The sequence below is a fragment of the Homo sapiens genome, chromosome 18 (genome assembly GCF_000001405.40).
Source record: "Homo sapiens chromosome 18, GRCh38.p14 Primary Assembly".
Classification (NCBI taxonomy): Eukaryota; Metazoa; Chordata; class Mammalia; order Primates; family Hominidae; genus Homo; species Homo sapiens.
Window position 1 is genome coordinate 64,245,451 of NC_000018.10, and position 24,333 is coordinate 64,269,783.

At 38.1% G+C, this 24,333-nt stretch overlaps 2 long non-coding RNA genes across 2 annotated transcripts in view; one reads left to right on the top strand and one right to left on the bottom strand.

Moving 5' to 3' along the window:
• The window catches only part of LINC01538 (long intergenic non-protein coding RNA 1538), a 46,974-nt gene extending 32,369 nt beyond the window's left edge, over positions 1-14,605 (bottom strand). The window contains exons 1-2 of the long non-coding RNA NR_033983.1: positions 14,465-14,605; positions 12,768-13,069 (exon numbers count right to left, since the gene is read on the bottom strand). This is a non-coding gene — a long non-coding RNA (long intergenic non-protein coding RNA 1538). The remainder of the gene's footprint in view (positions 1-12,767; positions 13,070-14,464) is intronic.
• The window catches only part of LINC01924 (long intergenic non-protein coding RNA 1924), a 319,511-nt gene that overhangs the window by 141,360 nt on the left and 153,818 nt on the right, over positions 1-24,333 (top strand). The window contains exon 3 of the long non-coding RNA NR_033881.1: positions 3,851-3,943. This is a non-coding gene — a long non-coding RNA (long intergenic non-protein coding RNA 1924). The remainder of the gene's footprint in view (positions 1-3,850; positions 3,944-24,333) is intronic.

The following is a 24,333-nucleotide window of genomic DNA, read 5'->3' on the forward strand; positions in this document are numbered from 1 at the left end:
TGGGGTAGTGTGTATGCGTGTGTGTGTGACAGAGAGATAGAGATAGAGAGAGAGAGACAGAGAGATAGAGACAGAGAGGGGATGGTGGGGGGGAGAGAGAGAGAGACTACCTTTCTAGCTGTGTGACCTTGAGCAATGACCTTGAGTCACTGTTCTCCAGAGGAACAGAGCCAATAGGATGTCTGTGTATATATATAGAAAGATTTATTTTAGGAACTTGGCTCATACAATTATGGAGGCTGCCAAGTCCACAATTTGCAGGGTGGACCAGTAGGCTGGAGACACAGGTAGGAGCCAATGATGCAGTTCGAGTCTGAAAGCAATGTGCTGGCAGAATTCTTTCCTCCTCCAGGGATTTTTTTTTTTTTTTTTTCAAGCCTCAACTGATTGGATGAGGCCCACTCATATTATGGAGCACAATTTGCTTTACTTAAATTTCGCCCATTTAAATGTTAATCTCATCTAAAAGCACACTCAGAGAAATAAAGTTTGACCTCATATCTGGGAACCTTAGCCCAGCCAAGTTGATCCACAGAATTAACCATTGCAGGTAAATGACTTAACTCCTATGTCTCCCTTCTTGTACCTGTAAATGGTGATTATCATAGCACCCATCTCACAGAGCTGTTGAAATTATTAGACACAGAGCAGTCAGAACAGTGACTTGTCCATGGAAATAGCAATACATATTTTCTGTTTTCTATTGGTATTCTGTAATGAAGATTTAATCCTTTTATAATCAGAAAGTAAATGTTGTTGGTGTCCAGATTGGACCTTTCTGCATGGCCATGGTTACTGAAGTTCTGATGGCCAAACTAGTTTGCAGTGATTTGAGCCTTCTTATCCCTAGCAAACCTAAGGGAAACTTGGGAACAAGCAACACAACATCACAAAGATGTCCATGTCATGGAGGGTCACGTGAATTATGAAAATCTTCTCTCCTTCTGCAATATTTCATCATCCTCCCCTGCTTTGCTCCGTACAGTCATGAGAGGATACCACCTCCTTGACAATAGCAGGGGGAGGATAAGGAGAGGTGTGAGAGGTTGTCATCACTGCAAACTTTGTTCCTGATTCAAATAATTTTGTGTTTGTGAGAATCTTCATCTTTTTCATGAGCTGGTGGCATTTTTGAATCACGGCATTTGCCCAAGACCACTGATCCAGGTACTCATTGCATAAAGGGGTTTGTCCCTGTAGCCAATATTAATAGAATGAACAAAATCTACAGTTACATAAATCTTATATCAAGTAGGGAAATATAAAGTAAAAGGTTAGGTTATTCTTGAGTGGCTTTGCTTAGTCAGTAAGAACAAGCAGACTTGTCATGTTAATACTCAAATACTGAGAGACAAGGGGAAAAATTAGTCAACAGAGCAGTTCCCATCTCAGGCCCTAGCTGTGTAACCAGTGACACACCAGAATTGATCTTGCAATTCTGACCAGTTATTTATCCTCTCCAAAAGCTTCCCAAAGTCTGTTTTTAGAATGAGGTCCCTGAGTTTAGGCCTTTCCACTGGTTCCCCCTTCTATACCTCCCTTCCTTTTCTCCAGTCCCTTCAGTCAGGCACTTACAGCCCCAGACTATGTAAATTGCTCCTCCCAAGGTCAGAAATAGCACCCAACTTTTCAGCAGCATTTTATGTGATTACCACTGCCTCCTATATGGAGTACTCCTTTCCATTCCTGCCCCTGCACTCTCCTTGTTTGTTTTCCTTGTGTTCTTACCGGCTCTTTCTCAGCCACATTTTCTAACTCTTCTTGATTTACTAGGCCATGGTGGGAAAGCCCTGATTCTATTCATACTCTTCTTCTCTTCTCCCTGCATGCTATTAGCACGAATGTGTAAATTGCTAATTAAAAGACAAGAAAGTTCTGAAGTTGACAATCTCATCTGGTCTCATGGCTTAAATATAAACCCTATATCACTGACTCTCAATTTTTTTTTCTCCAATTCTTCCCCTTCTTTCTCGAGCTTAGGCATATATGGGTAAGTACCCACGGACATCCCCACTGGATGGCCTAACACAATTGGCACATCTAAACCGGTCCCAGACCAAGCACCACAATTTCTCACCTACACCCCTGCAATAGCTCTGCATGGACCTCCTGTTTTTCTTTTGTTCTCCTGATTACACTGTCCACATTACAGTCCAAACGATCTGCTAGGGCATAAATCTCTCTGCTTCCTCATTTCCATGCCATTCTATTGAAATTAATACAGATTCCAAACTCCTTTTCATGATCTCAGTGGCCTGGTCCAGATTTCCTTTCTAACTCCATCTCCATCTACCTTCCCTTACCACACTCCAGCTACACTGATCTTTTGATCCACAGATGCACCAACCTCATTCTTTCTCTTTCTTTTCCAAGGCTCTCCGTCTTTGAACTTATTCTTTCCTTTAGAAAACTTTTTCATCTGACAGTTGCTTGCCTGTCAGACATGCTATCCCACGACGATCTATCAAAGCATACAGGTAGACCTTTGTGACACTATTCTTCAAAACATTCACCACTGCTAGAAGTAAGTTATATAGCGTATTTAGCATTTATAGGCTTATTAGGAATAATAAGCCCCTTTCTCCACCAATTAAATCCAAGCTCTACTAGAGTTACCATTTCAAAGGACCACAAATTGGGTGGCTTAAAACAACAGAAATTTATTCTTTCATAGTTCTGGAGGCTTGAAGTCAGAAATCCGTGTGTCAGCAAACCATGCTCCCTCAGAAGGCTCCAAGGAAGCATGCTTTCTTGCCTCTTTCTAGCATCTGGGGATCCTTGGCACCCCGTGGCTTGCAGCTTCACCACCCCAGTCTCTGCTTCTGTCTTCCCACGGCCTTCCTGTCTGTTGGTCTCCAAATCTCTTGCTCCTTATAGTAACATCAGTCATTGGATTTGGGACTCACCCCAACCCAACATGACTTCACCTTAACTTCATCAAGGGTTTAGGAATTGAACATATCTCTTGGAGGCACATAATTCAACCCCTGGGTTGCTGCTGTATACTATGCTGTATACTATGGAGGCACTGCTGTATACTATGTCAGGTGCCTAGAACATAACAATTACTCAATAAGTATTCCTATCTGCCTGAAACACTCTCTCCCTCTCTCTCTGTCCACTGCAAGTATGCGACTATGCAGTTGTATAGTGTGAGGAAATTCGGGAATATTAACCATTTTCTCATTTGCCCCAAGAATACTCTCTGATGGCACTTGAGGCTACAGTGTTTACCCCAAGACAACTTTGCCAGAAATATCTCACTTTTATTATCATTTTCGCATTGCTCTAGTATATCAACGTTGTAAACAAAAGACATCATTCTATTTATACGATTCTGTTTTTAGTAGTGGTATTTCCACTTACAAAATATAGTAATTCTCAATTGCTGAAAATGTCGTATTCTAGAAAACACCATTCCTACGCATGATGTTAACATCGTTCTGGAAGAGTTGTTGGCCGAAGATTCACTTGATGAATCCAATTTTTCCAGAATAGATGATTCTGATGATTCAAACGATTCTGATGTTAATCCTGTTTAGAAATAGCTCCAAGAACAGTTTTTATATCTTATTTTCACGTTGAAAATCAGTCAGATGTGCTTTAACCCCAAAGAGTTTGAGTTGTTTATGTAAAAATAAATGTTGGCATCGAGCTGCACTTTTTTTTTTTCTAAATAGTAAGAAGGGTTAATGATGAGGGGTTGAGATGTTCCAAATGCTTAATCTATATTATGCAGTGTGGCTGAAAACACTGTACGCTGTTTCTGCTCACTCCATCACCCTTACTTTTGTTCATGGGCCCTTCTCTCTGGCGTATTTTTTATTTTATTTTTATTTTTATTTTTTAGAGACAGGGGTCTCACTATGTTGCCCAAACTGGCCTTGATCTTCTGGGCTCAAGCAATCTTCCCACCTCAGCCTCCGAGTCGCTGGGATTGCAGGTACACACCACTACAACTGCTCTTTCTGAATGATTATTCTTCCTGCTACTCCATATTTTTCTACCTTCTAGGCCCCCAAATCAAGTTGTCTTCTGCTTAGGTCTCCGTAATACAAGCTAGGTTTCTGATTCAAACAACAACTGAATATGGTTAATGAAGCCGCCTCTGTTATCGCCCCAACTATTGCCTGTTTTCCTCATTTCTGTGCCACGATTCTTCCTCTGGTGTTTTACACAAACTCTATTCTACATGTGGATTCTGCTTTCTTTGTGTTCTTCTTACTGGTTTCTTCTTTCAGCCTTCCTTGTATTATCTGGCCTCTGGCTGCCACTTATTTTGCTGATGCAGACACACAGACCTCTTTTATCATCTACCCTCTCAGGGATTTACAGTTTACCTCTGGATGTTCCATCAACCCATGAACTTCCACTGCAGCATTTAAAACATATTTTATTATAGAGTTAGGAAAAAATGTGGACAAAGTATTACAGTGTTGGCTTCTAAATGTGATTGTGTGTGATTTTAACTTTTTTTTTTCTTGCAAATCTTTTAAAATATTTTTTCCTCAATGGAATTTTTTATAGCAATCATGGGTTTCACTGTTGGGGGGTTATTTGGGTAATGTCTCATCCCTCTGATCCAGTAGTTACACAAATGGCAGTAACTCATTGAGAAGTAACTCTTCACCGTTTAACAGAAAATGAAAGTAGTATTTGAAACATTAGATAATTTCACAAATATCACACACCTAGAAAGTGGTTGAACCAGGATTAGAACCGATTCTTGTCAATCCTAAAAGTCCATTTATTTTCACTGACTATATTCTCTGTTTAGAAATGTTTCAAGAAAGTGCAGTTTTACATTAGCTGTGTATTTATACACAAATATATATAATTATATATGTATTATATATATGTAGTGCTTAGTAAATATTTAACAGATAGATGTCATTGAACTCATTCTTACTGATATAAAGAGATCACGAATTGTGAGAAATCACCAGATCTTCTTTTCTGTTCAATACCTCATCTATGTTTTCTCCCACAGGAGTTCAAACCTTGTCTCCTAGTTATGAACTTCCAGCCTGAGCCAAACTAGAATCTCCATTGCTCCCTGTGGGTTTCTCCCACGTTGCACCTGTGCTACCCTTTTCCCCTTACTAAATACTCTTGTTCCAAGACGTATCCAGTTCCTAATTTCTATGGTACCCCAACTAGAATTTGACCTTCGAGGCTCTGCTCTCTTAATGGCTCTCACTCTGACACCTCTCATCTCTGAAATTCTGCCATATTTTCTGTGTGTAGTGCCTCTCAGGGACTTGAAAAGTGGCCTCTTATTTTGTCATTCATTGTCTATGTATAGAAATAGCTCATCCTTAATAACTGTGGAAGTATCATTTACTTCTTGGTTTCTCTGGATCCTAACACTTAAAAGACACTAAGTAAGAGTCTAAGGCATTGGACAATGCAGAGAAGTTTTACATATAACACAATGTAGCAGGGCAGTAGGTCAGTAAAGCTGTTATTGTTATTTCTCTTTGTTTTTTGTTTTTTTTTTTTCCTTTCAGCCTGGACAGACTATGACATATATTACACTTCTTTGTATCTTCAGTGTCCCAGCTTGCTGCCTGGAATATAGCAAGTAGTTAATAATACCAATTAAATTTAACTCAATTAAGGACACTTTTTTGGAGAAGGTGAATTTCCAGAGTTGTTTAAATAATACAAAATAACACTTGATAAGTTCTTAGAAAAGGAATGACATTCCAAACATATTGCTTTTTTCTAGCATATTTTTAAAAGGAAATAAAAAGGAGGGAAAAGGTAGAAGCAAGTGCCTGGATGAAAAACCAAGTAACGTAAATTTTAAATTGCCACATAAAGAATTATAGAAACTTTCTATTTCTGCAATAATTTAGTCACATCATTTTGATTTTGCCTTTAGAGCAATCTTGCTGGATTCCTCAATTTATGTTTTCATTTTAAGGATTTTCAAATAGAAATATTGTATCCTCTGAGTTAAGAGATATAAAATGCAAGCATATATCTCAAAGAAAATGCATTATTTTATTCACATAAGTAGAAATCACAGTTCTTTAGATAGCATCTGTCTTACAAGAATGTAGGAAAAAATCACACTACAGGTTTCCAGTTTTATACCTATTTTTTCTTTTTTTTACTGAAAACAGCCTTCTAATTGCTCTGCTAGGATTTATGTAGTAAATAGAGAAAAGCAATTATTTTCAAAGGGTATTTGTTTTCATAGAAGTCATCAAGAAACAAACATTAGTACAGGCATACTTTTACCGAGATTGAAAATATGGGTAGGTTATAATTGCTCAAATGCAGTTTAAGGAAGTTTTGAACAGAAATAGTAAGGAAAACAAGATCAGGCAAAAGCATTAACAAGTCGTAGAAAGCTTGGAAATATACAACACACACACACACACACACACACAACACACACACACACACATATATATATGTGTGTGTATATATATATATATGCACACTACAAGTTATACTAGTGCATAGAACATTGGAAGGAATTGAAGAGGGCCCCAGAAATGAGGACCAGGCTCATATATAGAAAGGATCTGCCCCAGATCAAAAGCAGTCCAAGAAGCACTGGGGCTGAAATCAAAGAGAAAGGAATTCAGAACACTTCTAATTAGTATTCAAAAATACAAGTGTATGTTTTTGTAATGCCTGATAATGATAAGAGCTAAGAGATGATAATTTACTCTTTTTCTTCATTTTATAGATTTTTCCCTCTCCTTTGTGAAATTAGCAGACAAAGCCTAATTATGTGTCCTGTGATGTAAACTTCTTAGGTTGAGAGTTGCATACCATCTCTTTCTACACTTGCACTGCCTAAACTAAGGGTCCAAGGCATAATCATAGCAGTTGTATCTAGCAGTCATTGACTGCTTACCATGCTAGTAATTAGGTACATATATTAACAAACAGTTAGGAGTTGAATTATATCCCCTAAAAAGATTTATTAGATCTATTAGAGTTTTAACCCTTGAACTTCAGGATGCAATCTTATTTGAAAACATGGTTGTTGTGAATGTAATCACTTAAGACGGGGTCATATTGGAATAAGGTATGCCCTTAATTCAAAATGATTAGTGTCTTTATAAGACAGAGACTCAGAGTGAATGACCAAGAGAAGACACAGACACAGGGGCAAACACCAAGGGAAGATGGAGGCAGAGACTGGAGTGATGCGTTCCTAAGCCAAGGAATGCCTGGGACCACTGAAGCTGGAAGAGGCAGGGTATGATCCTCCCCCAGCGGGCTTGGAGGGAGCATGGCCTTGCCAACCACTTGATTTCTGATTTCTACCCTCATAACTGTGAGAGAATACATTTGTGTTGTTCTAAGCCACCCAGTCTGTGGCACATTTTTACAGCAGCTCTAGGAGACTTAGGACACCCAGTTAATCCTTATTATAGCCCATGTGATTATGGTCCTGTTCCTTTCCCATGTAACAGGTAAGGAGGCCAAGTGGCAACAATGCAAAGCAACAAGCCCAGGGTTACAGTGGCAGGACCAAGAACCCATCATAGGGGGCTTGGCTCCAGAATCCATGCTCGTGATGCCATGCTATGTAGGATACTGCAAAACATTTGCTGGTTAAGTGAATTAGTACCTTGATGTATAATATTGCTCTACAGTTCATGGGCATATGCAAAATCACTCCTCAATATATTGTTTTAAATTGCATTTTAAAAACAGTGGAAACAATCAAAATCTTGCAATAAGGTTTATGGTTGCTGCCCCAACCCGTTTCTACCAATTACTCACTAGTCAGACAGTTAGCTTTCATTCAATTCTAATAGGGTGCCTTATGTCTAATTATTTTTTTAAACCTTTATGGGTAGAAACTAAGAAAATGGCTATTTCAGAGCTCTGAGCAGCTGTTCATCTCTGAGAAAGACCATTTCTTTTTTTCTTGAAAAACCGCTGCAAGTATCTAACAAGTCAAAACGAGATACCTAAGACAACCTTTTGCAACTGAGTGGCTAAATTTCCTTTTTGAAAGGAAATAAACGCGTGGGTAGGCTTCAGTAGAGTTCACTGTCTTTGGTTGATGTATCTGTTCATGAGTATTCTAGTTTGGGAAACTGTGTCAGCTGCTTTGCTAGGTGTCCTTAACTCTGATCACACTCTCCAAATAAGAAATTTGCCAGTAACTGCAAAATTATAGGATATTTGCTATCTAATCATCCCTTTAGACCCAGCGAAATGGTCTGCATTGCAGGAGAACCAGTTTCTGGGTTGCAATTCTCCAGTCGGGGCGGAAGGGAGGAACACAGCACTACTTGATCCCTACGGATAAAGTGGCTCCCTGTCATTGCCCAGTTAAGTGGAGAGATACTCTGATGAGCTGGCCTAGTGTTACACTAGCAGCTGGGGAGCATGACCAGAAACAACTTCCAGTATCCTTTTCAAACATCAAATGACTGACTATTCCAGTAGCACTCTGTCCCTCTTGCTCATATTTAAACATTTCAAAACCTAACTACTGTTGAGGCCATAGGAGTCTTAAGCCTTCAAATGAATAATTCTTCCCAGTCCAGAGAAAAGGCCTCTTAGGGAAAGGTTGAAAGAGAAAGTTAAGCTCTACTTTATAAAGGTCAGGGCACTTAAAGCTTTGTCAGGTGCAGACAGATCCTGCCCTTGCCTTTCAGAAAGGCTTGCAGGTGTGATGTCTTTAGTGCAGACTGAGGCTGAGAGGCTTATGGGTTTTATACAAGAGGAAGCTCCTTTGCTTCTTCCTTCGTGCATGAAGACTGCTGACAATGGCTTACGGGCACATATAAACAATGAGGTCAACAATCAGCTTATTAATTAGAGAGAGTATAACCCAATCTAAAGATCAAAACTATTCTTCAGATATCATATGCCAACGCAATTATTCTACACAGAACGGCAGCATCATTATGGAATTTTAATGGCTAGCTAGAGATGTCGGGCAACTCTATTGGTTTTATTGGAACTTATTTTTCTCATTATATAAAATGAGGTGAAATTTTTAAATTCCTGGGATCTTTTTTTGTGAAACTGTGACACACATTGAAAACCCACACAGAAGAGAGGAAGGAGCCCTTCCTTAGAGCCAAGAGTTTCATCATCAAATCTCAGCTTACTGGTTAACTCAGTAACATTGCACAGGTTGTTGAAATTCCAATCCCCAATTTCATCATTTGTAAAATAAAGATATTTATACTGACCTTCAGACCTGTTGTAGCAATAAGCGAAGATAATATATACAAAGCAATTCTATTATACCTGTTGATAACTTTTACCACATTTCCTTTCTCTGTCTACTCATTCTTTCTAAACCCAGGGAGATGGTCCACACTGAGGAATAACCAATTTCTGAGTTGCACTCCTCATTTCTGGCAGAAAATTTTCTATTTTTTAAAGTGCAGTTTTGATTAACTTCTAACATTATGCCTGGCTGACCGCTGGTTTCCACAAACAAGTGGCTGTTTAAAGAATGCAGGAGTAAAGGAATAAATGAACAAATGCTAGCTATGCAAATGTTCTTCCAGCATCTGGCTCTGTCTGTAGCTGGCCATTATGAAAAACCTTCCAAAAGCTGCCATGCTCTAGTAAGATGGATATGACCTAATTATTTGATTAAAGCACCTTTTAAAAAATAAATCTATTCTCTTTTTTTTGAGACAGTGTCTTAGCTCTGTTGCCCACGCTGGAGTGCAGTGGTATGAACATGGTTCACGGCAGCCTTGACCTCCTGGTTTCAAATGATCCTCCCACCTCAGCCTCCTGAGTAGCTGGAGGCTACTCAGGCACATGCCACCATACCTGGCTAATTTTTTTTTGTTATTTTTTTACAGAAACAGGATCTCCCCATGTTGCCCAGGCTGGGCTCGAGCTCCTGGGCTCAAGTAATTCTCCCATCTCGGCCTCCCAATATGCTGGGATTACAGGCATGAGCCACCATCCCCTGCCAAAAATAAAGTTATTCTTTTTAACATGAAACAGTTTACCTTCAGCAATTACACTAACATTTTATCGAATGTACCTCTCATATGAAGTTTATGAAATAAAAATAATTACCCCATTGTAAACTTAAGAGAGTCTCAGAATAATTGAAATTTTTTCCAAGGTGACTTAGGTAGAAATTAGCAAAATCATGACTTATACCTTGGAGCATCTGATTCCAAAGCTACTAATATTGATCAGTACATTATACGGCCTGAAGTTTAATTGGATGGTGCTCACACACTAGTTAGAGAATGAAGCCACAAGCACACGTAACTATAGATAAAAAGAAAAATAAACTAAGGTCTGTGAGACTGCAGAGGAGAGTTGACCCCTACTTGGTAGACTGCCCAGTGATCTTTGCATATTTGCTGGTCTTTACACTTCCTTTGAGAAAATGGCAAATTTTGACAGGGGGATAAGATTTTAGGGAAATGAAGTGCAAATTATGGCATGAAGAATGATATATGTTTATTATCCAGTCATTGGTTTTAGTTGGAACACAGCGTATGATGTTGGGGGTAGCTGGTGAGCAGGCTGGAAAGGAAAATTGTGCCATCTTTTTTATTTTATTTGGAATACAGAGGAATGCTATGTATATTTCATCCAGTGAATGGCATGCTCAGAGCTGGTTTAAGAGGACTGATCTGGTTGAGGTGTGAAAGGTAGAAGGGAGAGAGGAAATGCCAATGGTAAGAAGCCAAGTTAAGAAGCAGTTGAAATAATTCTGATGAAAAGAAAACAAACATTTGTTAAGTACCTGTTAGGGAACAGCACTACACTAGATATTTTAGTCACATCACATTTTTAGTCCTAGCAATAATCTAATGACAACATATTGACTCAGTTGTACAGATGAGGAGACTAGGTCTTGGAGACTGAATGGTCAGATGGTCAGGAGGAACAAACACAATGCTGGAATCTCAGGCTCTCTGACTCTAAAGACCACTGGGTTAAGGAAGGCTTGATTGCCAGTGGCTTGATGCTGCAGCCAATCCGTAGGAAGAACCAGGTGTGAGTGGAGCGTTAGGGACTTCGGGAACATTAAGGACCAATGCCTGGGGCACTACCAGGTTGCTTTTACTGCTTTCTACATGTCAGAGCCTTTTTTTTTTTTGCATCGAAGACCAACTTTCTTAAATAGTCAGTAATCATAGCTACCAGCAACACCAAAATTTTCACATCTAACTTTGTCATCCATTAGAGAAATTTAACAGACAACAACTTTCAAAAAATCTTTTTTTTTAAAAAAAACTCTATGTCACTAAAACTGTTCTGGTATTAGGGAAGAGAAAATCTTGTGTAGAAAGAATGATAATCACATAACCTAGATGTAGTATTCATCTCCAGACCAATGAACTCTAAGCAAGAGAGTATGCTATGATATAAGATGAACACTTTGGTCACACCTAGTTAATAAGGAGTCTTCTTCAAATAAATATGTAGATGGAAACAAGGCTAGTTTCTACCAAAAGAGGCATGGGGCAAACCATTCTATTGGTAGTCACTACATATATTGTCCTTCCATTAAAAAACCCTTTGGGACAGAGCTTCCAGACTTGAATCACAGGATTACCCATAAAAATGGAAGGGAGAAGGCAGATAGAGTGGTCAATAGAGTCTGAATCACAGATATGGCCATAAACATTTCTTAAGGGTCTGGCTTTATAAAAGGGCTTGCTGGTATAAGTCGTACTGATATTAATTAAAATGGATTTCTGCACTGCAATGAAATTCTTGTTTTGATTTTGCTAGTTCACAACGTTATCTTATATAAGCAACAGATAAAAAACCAGTCAATTTTTTAATACCATGATAATTGGCAGTCCTTACATCATCATCTCATAATAAAATGATGACACACATTGCTTTTTTTTTTTTTTTTTTTTGAGACGGAGTCTCGCCCTGTCGCCCGGGCCGGACTGCGGACTGCAGTGGCGCAATCTCGGCTCACTGCAAGCTCCGCCTCCCGGGTTCACTCTATTCTCCTGCCTCAGCCTCCCGAGTAGCTGGGACTACAGGCGCCCGCCACCGTGCCCGGCTAATTTTTTGTATTTTTAGTAGAGACGGGGTTTCACCTTGTTAGCCAGGATGGTCTCGATCTCCTGACCTCATGATCCACCCGCCTCGGCCTCCCAAAGTGCTGGGATTACAGGCGTGAGCCACCGCGCCCGGCCTGCTTTTTTTTTTTAATCATAGATAGGGATTATTTCAGATGCTTTGATAAAAGGCAACATACTTTTCCCTTTTGTTCCCTCAGTATATGTTATTTGGGGATAAGTTTATAAGAGATGATGCAATAAAAATACCAAAACCTATTTATCAGGATAAAATGTGTTACCTAGGCAACCTGAGACTATTTTCAAGATCAATTTTGCGAAAAGTTAGAAAGTTTATTTTTCAGGCTAAAGACCTTTCCATCATGTCTAGTGGATTATTTGATAATTATCTAACATATTTACAGAATTTTACAGGTATTGTATTTTCACATATATCATCCCTTTTGAGATTCATAGCAACTTTCCAAGGTAGCTGGGGAGGGCATTATTATTCTCATCTTGCAGATGATGAAATTGAGGCTCAGATAAACTGATTTTCCAACTTTCACAGTGTATCAGTCATGACTCGTCGTTGCAAAAATCATAACTCATTTCATTATTAGGAAGGAAATAAATGTAAGGACATTTTATAGTTCATGGACTACCTGGGGTGGCTGTAGATTTAAGCTTTATAACTAGGTAGCCAGAACATTTTCCAAATTACATTGAAGAACCACTCCAGAGAAGATGACTCATGTCTCATACCTGTGACACTGAGCAGGAGAAATGCTCCTGGAGGCCTGATCAGTGTTGTCTTGGGAAGCTGAAGGTTTTCGACATCAGCCCCACCGAAGCAATGCATCACCTGCTTCAGCCAGTAAGTTACCTTGCAATCAATGTTCTACGAGTATATGTGAGTGGTAGCCGCCAGATCTCCATTCTTCTAGGGTGACCAACAATCTTAGTGTGTCCAGGACTGTACTGGTTTTAGGGCCGAAAGTCCTAAATTGCAGGAAGTTACTCATTCCTTGGCAGACTGGGATGGTGGTCATCATACTGCACCATAGCTGCAAGAGGACAAGAAGGCAAATTTCTACTACTTGTACAGTAGATAATTCCTTAAAATATACCAGCACTCTCAACCTTACCAGGCTACCAAAACACAATAGCAAATGCCACTACTCAGAAGTGATGAGTGAGCTACTTCTTCTTAAATTGCTAACTAATAGGAGCTTAAAGTATCAGAAAAAAATTAAAATATATTCAGTGGACATCTTTATTTTTTAATCTTCCGGTCAATATAGATGCCATCCACCTGATCTCAGTGATTGATTGGTCCACAGGTGGTCATGATACATCAGGATGATCACAGTTTATCTGGCTTCTACAGGACAGGTTTATATACACATAGAGTGGGCTACATCTGTGTCTCTTACCTTGCCTCCAACAAGGAGGAAAAGAGATGCTTCTTAGTGGGAACTGAATGAGTTCAACATATGGAGGGGAACAGAATCAAAAGCAGAGAGAAAGCGAGAGATGAAGAGAACAACAGAGAGTGAGAAAGAAGGGAGTAAGAGGGAACTGATAATGCTCTGTGAGTTTCTAAGAAGACCTTCTCAGCATATCATGCTAAATTCCTTAATAAAGTACCCTTTTATTTAAAGTGGACTGGCTTTCCAGCTCTTACAATCAATAGAACATGTACTTGCAGGATTTTTATTTTTGCAAGGTTTGATGCTTGCACCCTGGAAAGGCCTGTTGCAGATGCATGCTGCCTGAGTATGGAGCTCTGGGAAAACAGTTAAAATTACTATAGTTAGGGAGAAAAGGCAGACTCCTAGCACACAAAATTATTATCCTTTTTAAAATATGCCTGTGTATGGTTTATTACATCTAGATTTAATTTATTCCCAATTAAGTCATCTTATCACCAGGTTGTTATATATTCCATTTCCTAAATACCTGTATTTGCTTGTTTCTCTATATCTCATATAAAAATATCAACTCCTATTCATAATTCTTTGCATCATTTTCTTCAGCCCACATTCCATTAATATTTTCTGTACAGGAATAACTTTTATGATTAAGATTTGATTCTTACTTTGGGTCCATAATGCCAATGGTTTAATTAATGTCTCTCTTTTGCTATTCAAATTTCCAAGCCTCTATCTTTGGGGCCTCTTTTGTTAGGACTTGCATTTAAGATTTTTTTTTAATGTGCTTTTTCTGGGATGATACAAATGTTTAGTTTTTAAACACTAGAAAGCAAAAACAAGAAAAGATAGAAAATTTTGTTAACAAATACCTGGAATGTCTATTTTCTTTAATCATTTTAAAAGCCTTATAGCAATTCCATGTATATAAGCTGCAGGGTACGCAATACACCAGCAGTCATTCAAGCACCGATTTTGCGAGGAATAAACCATGCCACTCAAGGCTCTGTTCCAGGGAAAGATGCTTACCATCCTCAAGGCTCTGTTCCAGGGAAAGATGTTTACCATCCTGTGAAACCGCACATTTCCAGGGAAGAGGATGAGCAATAGCAGGACCCATGATGCACTGAAGTTCTCCTGGTGGATCAGTCCAGGCCTGCGGGGCATCCCTTGCCTAACCTAGGTCTCAAGGCCCCAGAGGGTGGCTACATGCTTGCCTTGATGCATGCTGCTGATTACCAGACAAAGGAGGAGTAGATAAGTGACAAGGAACTAAAGACCTGCTTGCTTTCCCTGGAACTTGAAGAAACCACTTCCTCAGCTTGTCTACTATTTCTAGCACTTAAAGATGAAGTCGAATGTAAACATAAAGCTGTCGTCATTGTAAAGCCCTTAAGGTGTGTTAAAATTCTGAGTATTAGCAGTATTTTTCCTTCTCAGACGGAATCTCATGTGAAAATATGAATGCAGATTTGACACGTATGTAGAGGATATCAGTGCTCTATCAATAATACTTTCTACATTTTTTGTGTCTTTAATTTATGTATCCTGCAAGGTCTTTCTTAACCCTAAAATCTGACTGAAGCCTCATCCTGTTGCATCTGTTATCAACTGAAAATCAAACCTGTCTGCCTTTCCTTTCTTCCTATCACCACCAAACTGCTTTAAAGAGAAACCTGCATCTGCTCTTTCCGTTCCTGCTTATTACCTTGAAAGTCATACAGCTATCTGGGAATTTCTTTTTCTCTCAAAGAAGAAAAATAAGTAAAGCAATAATATTAAACTTACCAAATATAACGGATCATTAGTTCCCACCCTTTTGCAACTTCCCTTCTACATTGCACATTAATGAGTACCCTGTCATGGGAACTCTCCTTGTTTTGCCTTGATGACATTCTATCTTCCTGATTAAAAAAAAAATAACTCTGTGTATTATCATCCTTCTTTCAACCTTTAAATATAATTCCCTATAGGTCTTATTTTTCCTTGTTTTCATTATTTTCTTCCATGTCTACATCATTTATTTTGGTTATCGTATGCCTCCATTATTGCAAATCTGTCAACCAATCCTAAAATATTTATCTGCAGGCCTAGCCACCCACCAAATTCCGGTTTCACTTCCCCAAACAAACACTCAGGTGAACCTCCAGGTATAAGGCTTGGTGTCAAAAAATGAATTGATTTTCCTAAATCACTCCTACTTAATTTCCTCTCTTTCTGTCTGGGTTACCATCCCACCCCAATTTTCTAGGCACCTGGTTGTGAAACTTCAACATTTTCCCCCTTTATTCCACATATGGGATCAGTTGCCAGGCTAAGTCCATTAGGCTGCCATATACATTCCTCTTATTCTACCCTCTTTTCAATGCTTTCATTCTTTTATTTGCCTCCTGGATTTTTGCCACCAGCCTCCCATTCAGTGATTTTCAAGTGTGAGCTTCAGCAGAAGGTGAGGCGGGAGAGTGGGGTGGGCAAAGCATGTCCCATTAGGAAGTCCTATCAAGATATTGGCAGGGAATGGAGGTATTTGTAATGTGCAGACAAGGTGCTTTATGAGGCTTGGCCATGAAAATGACTCATGCGTTGTTTTCCTACAGAATCTAGGGATACACACAACCCAGGGAGATGATCCACACGGAGAAGGAACATTTTAGATTTTGTTTTCCCTTTATACTTATCCTGTTTTCAGAAACAAAATAGAAAAAGAATATCAGCTTTATTAATATCTAATGTAGGTCTTGACACCGGCCCTCTGCCCTGCTCCTATGTTCCCAGACAATGAATAGGAAGTGTGGAGCTCCTCAAACCTGGGAGATGGGCAGCAGCACCACTGCTTGCTCCTGTGTTAGCCACGTAGTGTGTTATGTTTCAGGTTAGGGAAACACATAAATGAATTTACAGATTATTTATCAAGCTTTAAAAAAAATCGAAAAATAAAATGTTAACACATTCTAGTAAAATTAGAAGGCAATATAAATAAGCACAAGGAAACAAAAGAAATGGCAGAACTGATACTTCTATTTCTAGTATAAGTATTTTGTCACTCATGTTGCAACAGGACATAATGATAATTTAACCAGATCTGACAAGGAATAGACCTCAAACATCTAAATTAACGAGAAGACTATTTGAAATATGGCTATGTTTCCATTTTCAGTGAAGACGAAATTTGCCCTAAGTGTATATTGTGCCTTAAGGTATTAGCTAAAGATAGCATGTAGCTGTCATAATTAGTAAAACATCTAAAAACTGAGTCTAAATTACAGGATTAATTATGTGTGTGTGTATGCACACTGAAAGCAGAAAAGTTTATTGTACCCTCAAAAACGTAATAAATACATGTTTGAAATACTGTTCATTTTCATTTCATCTTTAAATCCTATGCTTAAATAGTATAGTATAAATTAAGTAAATATATTAAAGGCATACTTTAAACTTTCTGTTGAAAGTATGCATGATAAAAAAAAAAAAGTCTGGAGGCAAGGATCCTTCACCAACAGAGACAGGAAAACTTCCCCAGGTAAGCAAATTCATTGCTTAGGTTAGTACACATAATTAAAACATATACTGTGTTACATTTAAAATAATTATTTATTAAATAATATCTTGAATTTTTTGACCAAAATGAACAATTTATTTCAAAAATCTTAATATAGTAAAAGAAAAACAGGAAATGTTTATCCTTGTCAAACTGAGGCATGGGCCATACAATTCTCTGGGAAACATTTAAGGAACAGTATTCTCAATGGTTTTTCAGTCTATGGACTTTCTCCTTTATTCACCTTTCTGTATATTTGTGTGTACTTGTTTATATACAATTCCAAACATTTATTAGTAACTAGGAGTTTTAGCATCAGAAAAAATGCAACGCAAAAGAAAGAAGTGGTGTAAAACTGCTGGAATTGTAAATTTGAATTGAAAATATCAGTATGAACTTATATTTTCTGTTTTAAAAATGTTTGTATTTGCGAACTCTGCCCACTGAACAAGCCAAAAAACAATGACAGGTCCAGGAGCCACAGTCATTGCTACTATCCAGAATGTGGTCTCTCGACTCCCTAGAAAAGTGACTGACTTCAGATCTTAGACATGAAATGTACCAGATGAGCCTAGCATATTTTACTGTACCAACAAATAAGAATGTTGTCAAAGACAAAATCAGAAGGACTCCAAAGATAATGGATTGAAACACAATAAAAACTGTTGTAATCATATACTCAAATGAGACACATGATACTTCAAAAAATCTCTTTGGTAATCTTTGGAAGGTCCTAGAAAACCAACTCCTTATTCTGAAAACTTGTAAATAAAGGGAAAAAAACAAGCTATAATTCAATCTTCCTGTATGTACTGTATCTCAGAATAATAAAAAATTTTTCTGGAAAAGATATTTTTTTAAAGATAGGCTGGCTGTTAGAATATTAATGGAAAAATGAGACCAAGCAATGATTAACAAAGTAAAAAGCCAATGGGGATTTTCTTAGTACATAAATCAAGCTGACAATTCCTAAACCAACTGATTAATCTTAACAAAAGACAGCCATGTGTTTGGTTATGTAGGTACCTCTAGATGTGATTCAAGGAAGTAAACAATACTACTTATGGAATATTCCTTATAAAGCAAACAAGCACACCTGAAATGACATGACAGCAATGTGATCAGCAAAATTTAAAATGAGAAACTTGAGAGGACAAACGTCCGCTTTTCTCAGCAGGCAAATTTCAAGGAAAGAGAAAGAGAAAAAAGAGTAGCAGAAACCATAGATTTAAAATTTAAGAGGCATCTCAACCAAATGCATTCTGTGTCAATCAAACTCTAAGCAAAAAAAAAAAAAAAAAAAAAAGTTGAATTTTGAACATTGATTGGATATTTGATAATATCAAAAAATCATTATTTGTGTGTGTTATAATGACAATGTGGACATTTTTAAAGTCTTTGCCCTTTAGAGATATACACTGAATAGTTTGTGGAATAAAATTAAAAGGTATCTGAGATTTGCCTCAAAATAATCTGGGTTAGGAGACAGTGAGTGTGATTTTAGAAGCAAGATTTACCACTTGTTGATTATTGTTAAAATTTGTTGACTGCTCTATGAGAGTTTATCGTATTATTCCCTCTACTTTTAATATGTTTACTTTTTTGTAATTAAAACTTACACATACAAACAGGTAAAAATGCTAATTTAATGATCATATATATATCTGTGTATATATAAAAATCTAGTTTAAAATATAAATTTTACAAATATAAGTGAAGATCTTAAGACATGCAATTCCAGTTCAATTAAATGACAAGATTTTATGTAGGTACAGTTATGCTTTATCAGTTCTCAGTTCTGTTTGTCATTTTCTTCCTTTGCTGTTAGATTTTCTTTACTGCTCTGCCCTTGCGCTGGAAGATTAGCCCACAGATTTCCAAGCATTCTCTGCATAGATGTGTGTAGAAGGTGTCTTAGATCTAACTTGTTATCTTTCAGGGATTGCAATGCTTCATCTGGGCCCCTGCACAGCTGTGGTGGATCAGACGTCCTTGGTAGTAGGTGCTGATTCAGCTTCATCAATTTTTGGCCTCTGTAGATTTCCCTTACTTTTCTGCAAGCTGGGTACTTGAGAGAAAGTTTGTTATATTTTATTCAACATGGTTAGGTATTTTGCAGTAGAAAAGTTTGCAGATTAATATGCAATATTTCCAGAAACTGAAGACAGTTTCATCTTTCATACAGCTCCCAGATTAACCTTTCTGGAACATAGGCCTGTATAAAATCATGTATTAAACTATCATTTGTTTTGTAATTGCTAACAAAAAGTATTTTAAAATTTACCTAGCTTTCTAATTCCTCCATTATAATTCCCATATCTGTCTATGACTTTATTTTCTACTCATTTTTTGCACTAAGCAAATTTTTTGCATTTTTCACAAATGTCCATTTCTTTGTTCAGTCTCATTCATTCATTGGGGATGCCCATCTCTTCATCTGTACATGATCCAATCTTACAGCTTTCAAAAGTCATTAACTCTTTTACAAAACTATCTCCCGATCTCTCAATAATATCCTCTCTCTTCAGAAACTTCCGTCCTTAGGAATTCATTTCTTTCCTTTTGTGGTACTACATTTTTATGAACATTTTATCTAATTGATATTTATTCTCTAAGCTTCTCATTGCTAGGGCCTTTTTATTATTCACCTTCGCATTCCCTAAATTACAGACCACAGTGAGTTTCACAAAGAGAAGATAATGACTTTCGAAGGTATTAGTAAATATGTTACAAAAAAGAATGTCTGCTACTTTAACAGCTTTATCTTGGAAAGCAAAAGACACCTATGAACTGAGAACACCTGTGTCAACATAAAGTAGATGAAATTGTAAAACACCTTGATCAATATGACTTCTTTACTCTAGGGAACTTTTGCCTAGGAAAGATAAGAATACACCAGCAAATATCTTCATTATTCACTTTGGGAAATTCCTACAGATCAATTTATTGGAGACAGTACTCTTCACCTGGGCAAACAGCTTGCTTATCTAACAGTTTACTTGTCAACACTGGCTTCCTTGTTCTTGTTGCATCCACTTATCTTAAATTATTATATCACAAATTTTGCCCACCCAAACAGTTCCTTGCTTTGAAAGACCTGCCTTGAAATGACCCGAGCACAGATTTCAAAGCCCCATAACAATCCCACTTGGACTTTTCCCTTGTAAGACACCCCTAAGACCCTGTCAATGGTGTTCCTCCTCACTCCTAAATTAAGGCTGTCTGGTGATATTTTGGGGCTTAACATTGTGTGTTATTGCAAAACCAAATAAAAAACACACACCATTTCTCTCAAAACCTAGGATAATTTATTTCTCTCTCTCTCTTCTTTTCTTTATTATTCCCTTTACCTTTCACTTTCCTCTCCTCTCCTTGCTTTGCTTTGCTTTTCTTTCACAAGGTCTTGCTCTGTCTCCCAGGCTGGAGTGCAGTGGAATGACACAACTCACTGCTACCTTGAACTCCTGGGCTTAAGCGATCCTCCCATCTCAGCCTCCCGAGTAGCTGGGACTACAGGCATGCACCACCATGCCCAGCTAATTTTGGTGTTTTTTTCAGAAACGGGTCTCACTATGTTGCCCAGGCTGGCCTTGAACTTCTGGACTCAAGTGATCCTCTAGCCTTAGTTTTCTTTTTTTTTTTTTAATTATACTTTAAGTTCTAGGGTACATGTGCATGATGTGCGGTTAGTTATGTATGTATACATGTGTCATGTTGGTGTGCTGCACCCATTAACTCGTCATTTAATATTAGGTATATCTCCTAATGCTATCCCTCCCCCCTCCCCCTACCCCACAACAGGCCCCAGTGTGTGATGTTCCCCTTCCTGTGTCCATGTGTTCTCATTGTTCAATTCCCACCTATGAATGAGAACATGCGGTGTTTGGTTTTTTGTCCTTGAGATAGTTTGCTGAGAATGATGGTTTCCAGTTTCATCCATGTCCCTACAAAGGACATGAACTCATCATTTTTTATGGCTGCATAGTATTCCATGTTGTATATGTGCCACATTTTCTTAATCCAGTCTATCATTGTTGGACATTTGGCTTGGTTCCAAGTCTTTGCTATTGTGAATAGTGCCGCAAGAAACATACATGTGCATGTGTCTTTATAGTAGAATGATTTATAATCCTTTGGGTATATACCCAGTAATGGGATTGCTGGGTCAAATGGTATTTCTAGTTCAAGGTCCCTGAGGAATCGCCACACTGACTTCCACAATGGTTGAATTAGTTTACAGTCCCACCAACAGTGTAAAAGTGTTCCTGTTTCTCCACATCCTCTCCAGCACCTGTTGTTTCCTGACTTTTTAATGATCGCCATTCTAACTGGTGTGAGATGGTATCTCATTGTGGTTTTGATTTGCATTTCTCTGATGTCCAGTGATCATGAGCATTTTTTCATGTGTCTTTTGGCTGCATAAATGTCTTCTTTAGAGAAGTGTCTGTTCATATCCTTCGCCCACTTTTTGATGGGGTTGTTTGTTTTTTTTGTTGTAAATTTGTTGGAGTTAATTATAGATTCTGGATATTAGCCCTTTGTCAGATGAGTAGGTTGCAAAAATTTTCTTCCATTTTGTAGGTTGCCTGTTCACTTTGATGGTAGTTTCTTTTGCTGTGCAGAAGCTCTTTAGTTTAATTAGATCCCATTTGTCAATTTTGGCTTTTGTTGCCATTGCTTTTGTTGTTTTAAACATGAAGTCCTTGCCCATGCCTATGTCCTGAATGGTATTGCCTAGGTTTTCTTCTAGGGTTTTTATGGTTTTAGGTCTAAAATTTAAGTCTTTAATCCATCTTGAATTAGTTTTTGTGTAAGGTGTAAGGAAGGCATCCAGTTTCATCTTTCTACATATGGCTAGCCAGTTTTCCCAGCACCATTTATTAAATAGGGAATCGTCTCCCCATTTCTTGTTTTTGTCAGGTTTGTCAAAGATCAGATGGTTGTAGATATGTGGCATTATTTCTGAGGCCTCTGTTCTGTTCCATTGGTCTATATATCTGTTTTGGTACCAGTACTATGCTGTTTTGGTTACTGTAGCCTTGTAGTATAGTTTGAAGTCAGGTAGCGTGATGCCTCCAGCTTTGTTCTTTTGCCTTAGGATTGACTTGGCAATGCAGGCTCTTTTTTGGTTCCACATGAACTTTAAAGTGGTTTTTTCCAATTCTGTGAAGAAAGTCATTGGTAGCTTGATGGGGATGGCGTTGAATCTATCAATTACCTTGGGCAGTATGGCCATTTTCACGATATTGATTCTTCCTACCCATGAGCATGGAATGTTCTTCCATTTGTTTGTATCCTCTTTTATTTCATTGAGTAGTGGTTTGTAGTTCTCCTTGAAGAGGTCCTTCACATCCCTTGTAATTGGATTCCTAGGTATTTTATTCTCTTTGAAGCAATTGTGAATGGGAGTTCACTCATGATTTGGCTCTCTGTCTGTTATTGGTGTGTAAGAATGCTTGTGATTTTTGCACGTTGATTTTGTATCCTGAGACTTTGCTGAAGTTGCCTATCAGCTTAAGGAGATTTTGTGCTGAGACAATGGGGTTTTCTCAATATACAATCATGTCATCTGCAAACAGGGACAATTAGACTTCTTTTCCTAATTGAATACCCTTTATTTCCTTCTCCTGCCTGATTGCCCTGGCCAGAACTTCCAACACTATGTTGAATAGGAGTGGTGAGAGAGGGCATCCCTGTCTTGTGCCAGTTTTCAAAGGGAATGCTTCCAGTTTTTGCTCATTCAGTATGATATTGGCTGTGGGTTTGTCATAGATAGCTGTTATTATTTCGAGATACGTCTCATCAATACCTAATTTATTGAGAGTTTTTAGCATAAAGTGTTGTTGAATTTTGTCAAAGGCCTTTTCTGCATCTATTGAGATAATCATATGGTTTTTGTCGTTGGTTCTGTTTATATGCTGAATTACATTTATTGATTTGCGTATGTTGAACCAGCCTTGCATCCCAGGGATGAAGCCCACTTGATCATGGTGGATAAGCTTTTTGATGTGCTGCTGGATTCAGTTTGCCTGTATTTTATTGAGGATTTTTGCATCGATGTTCATCAGGGTTATTGGTCTAAAATTATCTTTCTTTTTGTTGTGTCTCTGCCACAGGCTTAGTCTTTCAAAGTGCTAGGATTACAGGCATGAGCCACTGTGCCTGGCCTAGGATAATGACTTTCTTAAGTTGTCATTCTTCATACTAATCTCAGTGCTTGGAAAATAGTAGATAAAAATTTTTTCTTGAAGGACCACATTTAATATAAGATTTGATGTAAGATTGCCATTTGCAAAGGACCTTTCACATAAAATTCAGCACTTTTTATTCTGCTGGATAACACCAATTTCTTTCTCACTCACTTCACTTATTAGAGGACTGTTGATTTGATTATGATTTTTAGTTCAAAGAGTTACTGTTAAGTTGGAATATTTATTTTTGTCCATTTAAAGTTTACTTGCACTGGAAATCTGGTTGAGGCAACATTGTGATTTTAAAGTCTCTTGTGAAATATAGAGGAATCACTGTGCTCAAATTATGAAAGAAAAAAAGCAAGGACTTCATTTCTATTAGGTTGCAACTCAGAGTTCTGAACTCAACCATGAAAAGGTTTTGGTAAATTGCAAAGCAATCTACAAATATAGTTTTCCTAATTCTAGAATAGGGCATAGTACCTGACACTTAAGAGGAATGCAATAATGTTTATTGAGCAAATGACAGCTCACAGTCTATGATTAGAGGGCTTTAAAAATGTCTCTGAATAATTTAACATCAGTTTACATTTTCACTGTAGTAAAATTGCTAATATCAGATCCTTCCTCAAAAACAAATGTCATCGAAAGGGAAGGAGAGAGAGTAGCCAGGAGTGTGGGCTATGTGACACGTTTTATGGAGCTCAGAGTGGAAAAGGAGAGACTGGGCTGGCAGAGCTCCCACAGACTGTGGTATACACGCTAGTCTACATGAATGGCACCCCAGGGTCATGCAGTGACTGATGTCACTGAAGCCAACTCCTTTGCATTTCAGATGTGAGCTGGTACCTGCCCTGTCAACATGGAGCAATAGCTAAGAAAATTTATTCCCAGTGTGGATTTGCTGGGAGACTTGCAGAATTTTGTGGTAACTCAGGGTGAGCGAGCCTGCTCATTGAGCTTCTTCTGACTACTTGGCATGTCCCTGAAATTTGCAGAACCCTTAAGGGCTGGTGCCCTTTGGGTCATCATGCTGAAAGGAGCATTGCAAAATGCAAAGACAAAGAGCCACTCCACACAGATTTCAGTTGGGAAGGCAAAGTGGCAAATAGACAATATTTAGTCCGTGTACAGAACAAAGTTAGAGCAGATGAACAGAGAAAGAAAGA